At 38.6% G+C, this 10,400-nt stretch overlaps 1 long non-coding RNA gene across 1 annotated transcript, besides 3 other annotated features; it reads right to left on the reverse strand.

Moving 5' to 3' along the window:
* Window positions 325-394: an enhancer, noted in NCBI's record as "active region_12666". NCBI's record gives its function as "activates an Ori minimal core promoter by ATAC-STARR-seq in GM12878 lymphoblastoid cells {active_cell/tissue: GM12878}" and the evidence as "EXISTENCE:reporter gene assay evidence [ECO:0000049][PMID:35858748]".
* Window positions 415-514: an enhancer, noted in NCBI's record as "active region_12667". NCBI's record gives its function as "activates an Ori minimal core promoter by ATAC-STARR-seq in GM12878 lymphoblastoid cells {active_cell/tissue: GM12878}" and the evidence as "EXISTENCE:reporter gene assay evidence [ECO:0000049][PMID:35858748]".
* On the reverse strand, window positions 1,687-5,815 carry ROCR (regulator of chondrogenesis RNA). Its single transcript, NR_110876.1, has 3 exons — window positions 5,734-5,815; window positions 3,989-4,140; window positions 1,687-1,815 (listed from the first exon to the last, which is right to left on the reverse strand). It is a non-coding gene; the product is annotated as a regulator of chondrogenesis RNA (long non-coding RNA).
* Window positions 9,615-10,385: an enhancer, noted in NCBI's record as "OCT4-NANOG-H3K27ac hESC enhancer chr17:70025920-70026690 (GRCh37/hg19 assembly coordinates)". NCBI's record gives its function as "activates a minimal SCP1, AML or CMV promoter by ChIP-STARR-seq in naive and primed H9 embryonic stem cells {active_cell/tissue: H9 hESC(naive and primed)}" and the evidence as "EXISTENCE:reporter gene assay evidence [ECO:0000049][PMID:30033119]".

Below are 10,400 nucleotides of genomic sequence, written 5' to 3' on the forward strand. Positions count from 1 at the left end.
TGTGACCCAATCTGACATCTGGTCATGGAAAGCTGTGTTTCCTTCTTATTTTATAAAATGCATATGTTGGGGCGGGGGGAAGAAGACCAAGTTTGACCCCCTCCAATCCATGTAATAATAGCTAACATAAACTGAGCTTTTCTTATGTGCCAGGCACTGTGTTATATATATTGCACACATTTTCTAATTTCTTTCTCATACAGGGTGACGAAACATATCAGTTTGCTCACCACTGATGGGTTCCCTGGAACTTTGCTGTATTCGTGTGTTCTCATGCTGCTAATAAAGAAATACCCAAGACTGGGTAATTTACAAAGAAAAAGAGGTGTAATGGACTCACAGTTCCACATGGCTGGGGAGGTCTCACAATCATGGTGGAAGGCAAAACAGGAGCAAAGTCACTTCTCACATGGTGGCAGGCAAGAGAGATTGTGCCGGGGAAATCCCATTTATAAAGCCATCAGATCTCGTGAGATTTTCACTACCACAAGAACAGTATGGGGAAAAACACCCCCATGATTCAATCATCTCCACCTGGCCCCACCCTTGACACGTGGGGATGATTACAATTTAAGGTGAGATTTGGGTGGAGACACAGCCAAACCATATCACTGGCTATAACTGAGTGTCCTGGGCAAGCTGGGACTGCTGGTCACCCTCCATGAGGAAGGTGCTCAATTCCATTTTGCAAATGTAAAGAACTGAAGTGGGAGGAGTCCCAAGTCTGGACAGGCCAGTAGGGATTTTTCAACCTGTGCTTTTAAATCACTATAAGATACAAGCTAGGGAGAGCATCTTCCTATGGGAGAAAGTTGTAGCACATCAGTGAATGGGTTAAGTTAGCTGTTGCTTTCTCTTTTTTTAAACTTTTAGGTTCAAGGGTACATATGCAGGATAGGTAAACTTGTGTCACAGAAGTCTGATGTACAGATCATTTCATCACCCAGGTACTAAGCCTAGTACTCAGTAGTTATTTTTTCTGCTCTTCTCCCTCCTCCCACCTTCCACCCTCTAGTAGATCCCAGTGTCTGTTTGTGTTCATGAGTTCTCCTCATTTTTCTCCCACTTGTAAGTGATAACATGCAGTATTTGGTTTTCTGTTCCTGTGTTAGTTTACCAAGGATAATAGCCTCCAGTTCCATCCATGTTCCCGCAAAAAACATGATCCTGTTCTTTTTTATGGTTGTGCAGCATTCATGGTGTATATGTACCACATTTTCCTTATCCAATCTGTCATTGATCGATATTTAGGTTGATTCCCTATCTTTGCTATTGTGAATAGTGCTGCAGTGGGCAAAGGAAATGAAATGAAACTTTTCAAATGAAATGAACAGACATTTTTCAAAAAAAGGTATACATGCAGCCAACAAGCGTAACAAAAAAATGCTCAGCATCACTGATCATGAGATAAATGCAAATCTAAACCATAATGAGATACCATCTCACACAAGTCAAAATGGCTATTATAAAAAACTTTAAAAAAAACAGATGCTTGCAGGTTGCAGAGAAAAAGGAACACTTACACATTGTTGGCGGGAGTGTAAATTAGTTCATCCATTGTGGAAAGCAGTGTAATGATTCCCCAAAGAGCTAAAAACAGAACCATTCGACCCAACAATCCCATTGCTGGGTATATACTCAAAGGAATAGAAATCATTCTACCATAAAGACACATGTACACAAATGTTCATGGATGTTGCTTTCTTTATTACAAAGGGTTTCATATCCTCCTGGACTGAGTTTCTCTGTTGTTGATGCTGTTGGTGTTTGTCTGTTCTATGGTTGTTATACTTCTGTAGGATTTGGAGGCATAATCTGAAATGTTAAATAACAGACTTTTATTTTTCTAACTAGTGTCATTCTATCTTTGGAAGGAAAAAAAAAAAAAAAAGAAGAACAGTGACATTAGCATTAGCAACTCTGAAAGGATCAAGACCTGATCTTCATAGTCCTATTATTTTTTTTCTGTTTCCCTCTAAAAAGAAGTCTTAGCTCCAGTAACTTCCTAGGAATTACAATTTCAGAAGTGACCAGGGATTCTCAAAGGGCACTTTCTTAGCTTCCACATACCTTCCAAATGTATATCAAGGCTTCACATCACCTGTTATACTGCCTCTATAAAACAGGCTCACAGAGTGGGAAGCATGGCATTGAGTCGACCAAAGAAGTCATCATCTCAAGTTATAAGGAAGCTCAGGAAGAAAGGTTTCACGTGAACAAAGAATTTTCCAATCTCTTAAATAATTGTCCATGAATGGATTTACTTAAGCAAGAGCTTAAGTACACTTCAAAAGAAACCAGTGATTATAGCTGCAAGATGAACATTGCGTCAATAGAAGGGCCACTTGGGGACACTCTGAAATCCCAGGGCAAAACTGACTGTCTTGATTTGACAGAGGAATAGGGCCAATTGGGGGTTTAGGCTGATTCTGTTTTTTGTGAGTCATTTTGTCTGTGGACATGCCTTACAAACTAAAACAAATCCAAAAAATCCCTAGGTGTGAGATGATTAAAGTTTTAAATCTGGTCATTTGTAAATCACAAAAGCGCTGGATGAAAGCCATGCTGTTTGGAGGCTTTTGTTTTTCTTGTTAAAATCTTAGGGTTTGCTGAGCTTATAAAGACTCCTTGAATCAAATAAAAAGTGAGGGCTTTTGGAGAGAGTCATTCTCTTCAGTATCAGATGCATTTTAGTCTATAATTTTCCACTCTGGCTTATGTGGCTGTCTAGGCTTGATTCCATCAACTCATTTAATCTCCAATTTCATAAAAAAGCAAGCTTTCTGTTTATCTTTGTCCAACTGAGTGCAATCTGTGCTTTCTAGCTCTTCTAACAATCCCAACTTTTTGAATTTCGTATCAGAATGCCTGTGTGGCATGGTAAATCTAGGCTGTCCTTGACAGGTTGGAAACGGCATACTCCTGGTGAGGAAATCAAGTGACGGCTCCCAAAGACACTCACTTAACAAATCATAACCTAAAAACAGATCATCACTTTAATTTACTGTGATGAAGTGGGGGAGAGAAGTTAATACAAATCAATGCATAGCTATAAGTTTTCAAAAAAATAAATGGTGCAGTTTCCCCCACAAACACTTAATTTTCATATACAAGCTAGTTGCTGAATTAGGGAAAATTTAGCATTCGACACAAGCTCATCTGAAACCAACCAAAAACAGAAACTTGAACTGAATTTGCTTATTGCTACATCCCTCTATTTTGTAAAGCTGAGAAGACTGCTTATGCTTCAAGGAAAGTTTGATAAACAACCATCTGACCAACAGAAGCTTGACATTTTAGTATCATTTTAATATCATACCTAATCTGTATGTATAGGTCAGAGCTGGCCTACTGACCCATACATACAGATGAGATGCCTGAGTAAGACGATTGTCTTTTGTTACTATTCAAGGTCCTTGCTATGTGTATTAGGTTGGTGAAAAAGTCATTATGGTTTTAAATATAATTTTGGGATGAATTTATAAAGATGTATTCTACTTCAATGTATGCATTATTACACCAAACAGATTCCCAACATTCTATCAATCAATCATTCTTATGGTCACAAACATTTGCTTCCCAAAAATATTTATAAAATTCTGTTTGTCAGCCCCATCATATATATTTTGGATCTGTCCTATCTTACTACCTAGGAAACCAAAGCCCAAAAGAAGTACCAATTCTCTGTCTACCTACAAACACACACGTATACAGCACTAACTTGCAAATAAGAGTATGCTGGGAAAGAAAAGAGAGAAAGGATAGTCTACCACATGTCATGAAACAGACTTGCTTAATTTCACTCTTTATGGGGAATAAAGTGTTAAAAATAACCCAAACAGCTGAGATGAGAGGCAATACTTTTGGTTATTCATTTGTTTTTATTTCCAACTCCTCATCTGTTATACAACTTTGGCCTTTTAAAAATGAACTTATTTGTAAATAAGAATAATGAGTTGGCAACTGGATTCAGGTCTGGCCATTTTACCTGAGTGATGAAAAAATAAATGATGTAGCGGTCTGCGAAACCATCTGACTCCCCTTTGAAATCCTCTTGTTTCCTCCTGAGATTGTCTAATTATAGAGTAATGCTGGAAGTATTCTTCACTTGCAGATTAATTAGTTGATGCTTAAGTAGTTCTTTGAACATAAAAGGCAACATGTAAATCTAAGTGTAATCAATCATCCTCAAGCTAATGATCATTTAATTAGCGCTTTCTGCTAGTTTAACAGTCCATAAAGAAGAGGGCAATTTAGGGAAGGGTCTCCCACCATTGCAAAGAGGTAAGATGTAGCTATAACTAGAATGAAAAACAATGTTCAAAATGAAGGTTTTAACATTGGAAATAAATTGGAAATTGACTCTCCCTTCTTCTGGTGACTAACAGCCATGAGGGAACTGAAAATGAAGCTTATCTTTTAGTAGCATTTGCATATTTCCAGAATTAGGAATCACAGTTTAAATTGGGCTTATCTAATGTTTTGTGGCAAAACCAAATACTTGAGGTGATATTTACAGGGCAGAAAAAAAAGTTAACTCTGGAGTGTTTGTAAATATTATGAAGGCTTAACTTCCTGCATTCTTGGTAAAATGGTTTCCTAACTAGGAAGTCATGTTCAAGTTGAAAGTTATATGATAAAGCTAGTTGTTTTGTAAAATACTTGTATTAGACTTTCTTACATGATTTTCTAATTATTTCTGTATTAATTCCCCTATTTGATTATATACGCAAAGCCAGGTGCCTTGCCTATTTCCAGCCTTATTCAGCTAAGAGTCAGCGTTCATTAAGTGAGTGTATCAATGAACAAATAATAACTAGAAATATACCTACACAATTAACATGAGAAAATGTGGCTTTGGGTATAAAAATTATTCTTCTAACTTAAAACATATTACGTCAAAGAAAATGTAAACAGTTCTGTTTGTCAATTAAGTCCCCACTCTAATGCTGGGCCGTTAACACAAACATCATCACAAAGAGATCATCCAGCCAACACGCTCAAGTTACCCAGCACTGCAAGGAGCCGTACTGGTTTATCTAATCAATACCTGCATCACATGACTTTTTAAAGTCACAGTTTTCTCAACTATGAATTGGGGCAATTGCAACAGTTAAATGGAATGATCACAAAACCAAAGTAATTATTTAATAGGTGTCAGCATTATTAACATCAGTTGATTTTTCTTTTTACATAATTTTAACTCAACAGAGAAAAAAATTTAAAACCTTGCTGAAAATACGTGTAGCCCTACCCTGCATGGACAAGAATTTGCTTTGCCAACTGATAATTCAAGTAGCACAAAAGCAACGTTAGAGATCAGCACTGACACCTCATGTTAGTAAGAGGCACACACCTCAAACCTAAGCTTTCAGGGATGTTGTAAAATTCATCATTTAAAAAGAGATTTTTAAAAAGGCAATAGCAGTTATGAAGATATATATCACATTAGCTTTTTCTCAAAAGAAAAAAAAAGATGCAAAGAATTTAACTGTGAAATAAATAGTATAATTAGGGTAATAGTAATACTATTTAAAATTTTATTCAAAAAAAGAAACACTTCAACAATAGTAGTAGATGAGTGTCTCAAAGTACTCAGACGTCTACCCTGTTTTTCAGAAGCATGTTTTTCATGTTCCTATCAGAACTCATGGAAGAATTTCTACATGCAATTTCTTCAAAAAAATCTCCACATCTAAATCTGACAAGACAGAAGTTTTGGGCAATCCTTACCAAATAGGCTGGTCATACAGCAGCACGCATTTGACTGTATTCCAAAACATGTGTCTTAAAAGGCTCTACTGAAATGGTCCCTGCAGAAGATGAATGCACAGAATCTATATTAGACCCACAGGTAAAGCTTTGGATGCAAAAACCACATTCACCCTACAGTCTTTTGACAAAGGTTTTTCGTGACTTAGCCTCTGACTTCTCTTACTTCTTGAGCGGATTTAATACCATCGACTTCTACAGTGTATAAATAATCTTGGTCTATGCACCCAAAGTTATGTAAGACAGTAGAAAAGAACCTACCTCAATTTGAGTAAAACATCAGTTTTTAGAAAATCATGAATCTGTGTAAAGCAAGGCAGGAGAAAAGCAGATATTGCTAATACCAATAGATTAAAACTTACACTAAGAAAAAAAGCCACCACTTTGTAAATATTATATTGGATAAATCTGAAGTGGTGTCTAACACTATTCCTTGGCTCCTTTTCTGAATATGAATGCTTTCTGCATTTTCTTAAAATTATGAGAATTTTTGAAAACTCCAAAAACAGAACAAAATTTTTATCATTGCTGATTTATTCTCAAGCTTTCCCTCTTCTAAGAAAACAAAAGAGGAAAAATAAAAACAATATATAACAAATAAACAAACCTAAGCCATAGATGCTGAATTCTGCTACAGTTATCATTTTGTAGAAGGATGAGTAAAACAAGATAAAACACGTGAGTGTTCATTTACAGAAGTTACAAGCTTTATGAAATGCAAAGGAGCTGTATTTTACCACAGGAAGCCAAGTGAAATAGGGTGAAACAGAAGTCGATCATATTCAAATAATTAAAATACAAATACATTTCATGAAGACTCTGATTCCAGACCTCTGCTCTCACTGTCTTCCACCCCCTTTTATTGGAATCTCTGAAACCATTTTGCTTGGGGCAGAAAGTAGATTTTAGTATAGTAGGAAAAATGCCAAACATCCATGGCAACTTAGAATTTTTCCACTTTCTTTACATGTTCAATTGAGACCTTCATAAAATTATAAATGAAAGGATACATTATGAGCACTTTCTTTGAAGGGGAAAAAGAGGGTGGGGGGAGGCCTTGCCTGGAAGTAAAATTTTGGAGTCTATATCCTTCTTCTCTGCAGAACTCTTGGGAGCTTTCTCTGCCAACAGCAGGACCCCTAAAAAAAGCTTGCCTTTGCCTTCAGAATTCAAAAAAGTAGAACCACCAGTTGCTCCCCTGACCGTGGGTGAGACGTTGATCACTAGGTGGGGACTGGAAAGTCCTGGGCTCCACTTTCTTGTCCCTCAAGGACTGAGGTCAGTGTGTCTTGGCGCCTTATATCCACTCTCTCCATCCTCCCGCATTCCCTCCCCCTCAACCAGGGATTCACTCCTGTTTACACTGGGGAGACTGTAACTTCTGTTTCTTAACGTTTAAAAGAAGTTTAAAAGCTTATAAAAAGGCTCTTAAGATTTCTTGGACACCAATCACTTCTTACAGAACAATATTTTGATGAGTTAAGTGTAAATGAATCAGAAACCTATGTATTAAATTTCCCTTGACATGAACATCAATTTAAAATATTAATGGAAAAAATGCCCAGGGCTCGAAGTGTTGGGGGTTTTCTCAAACCCAAAATGCTTGAACGTGGAGTGGAAATCCATTCAGATCAACCAGATTTGCTGATCCTCCCTCTCAACCTCCCCTAGATTGTAATTACCGTGGAGGGAGTAGTATTTCCAGCTATTGACCATCTGGCTGGGGATAGATCACATTCCTGGTCATTATGCTTGCATCTCAGCAGAAGCCCAAGGCTGGGCTGAGGCTGTTGAGATGTCCAGCCGCTGTTCACAGAAGGCTGACCCTAAAAGCTGCCTTTTTTTTTTTTTTTTTGACCAAGGAAACTAAATAAACAATCACAGAAGATCATAAATCACTGACAAAGATATTTAGATTTGCAACAGCCCTCAAAAACAGAATGTGCCACAATTTATCCCTCAAAGATTAACTCAATCCTGGGTCCTATAATTGTGCATCCCATGACTTCTGATGATAAATGACACAAGGGTCAAAACTTGAGAATTGGTAGGTGTTTTTGTTTTGTTTTGTTTTAAATATTGACTCTGGGTCCAAGAAAACACCCAGAGGAACAGAAGCAACCCAAAATCCTGAAATCAGACTTGTTCCCTAAAATCATCACTCTCTCTATATATATTTATGTATATTTTTAATATATAATACATATGTATTTTATATATTATATATAAAATATATAAAATATATATTTTATATATTATGTATATATTTTTATATATATTATATATACATTTTTTTTTTTTTTTGGAGACAGAGTCTCACTCTGTTGCCCAGGCTGGAGTGCAGTGGTGCAATCTTGGCTCACTGCAACCTCTGCCTCCTGTGTTCAAGCGATACTTCTGCCTCAGCCTCCCCAGTAGCTGAGACTACAGGCACCCACCACCACGCCCAGCTGATTTTTTGTATTTTTAGTCGAGACGGGTTTTCACCGTGTTAGCCAGGATGGTCTCCATCTCCTGACCTCGTGATCTGCCTGCCTCGACCTCCCAAAGTGCTAGGTTTACAGGCGTGAGTCACCGTGCCCAGCCCTGTTTTTTTAAGTTGGTTTTTCATCTCTGTTTTGTTTTGTGAACGGATGACCACACACACTAGGTTGAGTGACAAAATAAGGAGATGGAACCAAGCGAAAGAGATGTCAAGCCTCTCCTCTTTGGTCACGTTAGCTAATCTGAACATTTGGGACCTGTGTCACAGATACTACAACTATGAACAATTGCTAACTTCTTGGTGAAACACAGCATGTGTCCAGCGCTTCAAAAGTATTATTGGGAGCATGTCTGCCTAATCTTCAACCCAACACTCATTCTAGTAACACACATGAAAGGGTTCTGTGAACTCTCATAAACTATCCCCACATAAACTGTTTTTACTATTATTTTCAAAAGTCATATCCCTCACCCGCTTAAGGACAGCTTAACAGTTCTCAGTGCTTTAGAAGATGCCCTTATTCATCTCTATCTCAGGAGGGGTGAGGACCCAAGAGTTCCCTTCTAATGGGATATTTTCCCTTGCTCATTCCTTCTCAGAGACACTCTCTCAAAGGTTTGGCAGGGTCTGGTGGTCAGGGAAGAGTGCATCTTTACAGAAACATACCTTTTAAAAACAGTGTTCAGCCTTGTCCTACTCAAGGCACATGCTGGATATATGTTTGTTGAATGGCTAAGTCAATGAGTGAAAGAATGAAAAAGCCATACCTCTTTTACAATAAATTTGCATAGACGAATGAAAAATTAAAAGACTGTCAGAGACAGGTACAGCACAAATTGCCCCCACCTCAACTAGCCATCCCTTCAACTCCAACCCCTCCCACCACAGAAGATGATTAGGGTTTTTTAGGAAAAAAAGAGAAGCTGTACAGCAATGACACACCCCAAAGACAGCACACTAAGATTCCTTTGCTTTATATTGTTTATAATGTTTAACCTCTCTGGTGGCCACCAGTTCTTAAAAGCTCCTAAGCATTTTCACAGAAAATATAAGAGGAAAACCAGCAATAGTAACAACGTCAATGGTGCCGGCAGACACAGAAAGACTCAGAAAAATATGGAGGCTCTAGGATGCCTGATAACAAGTCTCATTTCCTAAAATGAGATCTGGGGACTGGAGAAAGTGTTATCAACCAAGACAAGGAATAGGATAGACATCAGAAGTGCCCAATTCCAACACATTTTCTGAGACTCCTTTCCTAGGCAAACCTGATGAATGTGCAGACATAAATAGATAGTCCTACCATAAATTGATCTCTTTTTATCCTAAGTAATCAAGGTCCAGTCATTTCCCTCAAGCTGGGCTTCTATTGCTCTCTCTGGAGATTCAGCATAAACATGTCCTTGAAGTTTTGCTCAGGTAGATGAAGGTGGCAGAAAGCATGCAGCTACTGGGGTTAGTGGCTGTCCCCTGATTAAGTGCAAAGGTGGAGACCCATAGTTTATCCCCAGAAAGTTTCCATGCTTTCCCCTGGCATTTTCTCTCAAGCTTTTACAAGCCTTGTTCAGGGAGTGGAAACTCATTTTAAAGGTAGTTTAGACCCACCCTTCCCTTAAGGGAAATTTCTATGCAGGGGGAAAGCAAGCAAAACAAAACAAAAGTTACACTTCAAAGCCTTACAAGATAACCACAGGGAGAAGGCTAAGTCCTCCCAGTTACTCAGCCCTCCCCTGTGCTAATTGCAGGAGGTAGAGCCTGACTGTATTATTATTTGCATACTTGATCAGAAGAAGGGCCACAGAAGGAGGTCTAGAAGCTCAGCTGGTGTTTGACTGACATCTTTTAGGACTTGGACCCCACCGCCCACCCCCGCAACCAACACCACCACCAGTCCAGGACCTGATGTAATATTGCCACAGACTGATTCCCGTTGCCTTTGATATGCAACCTGTGCCTACAGTCAGCTCTCAGGGCTAAAGAAAACAGTCAGCTCCTGCGGCATCTGATTTGCCTCCTGCCCTCGCTGCTGTTAATCTGCAACACGCCACAGCCTCTAGATCGCTGCCGTTCAGAGTCGGATGTCATGGGGGCGACTGGCAGGGGTTCTTTCTTCTTTCGGTTTGATACATCCTTCCTTCCGCTG

The sequence above is a fragment of the Homo sapiens genome, chromosome 17, assembly GCF_000001405.40.
Source record: "Homo sapiens chromosome 17, GRCh38.p14 Primary Assembly".
Lineage (NCBI taxonomy): Eukaryota > Metazoa > Chordata > Mammalia > Primates > Hominidae > Homo > Homo sapiens.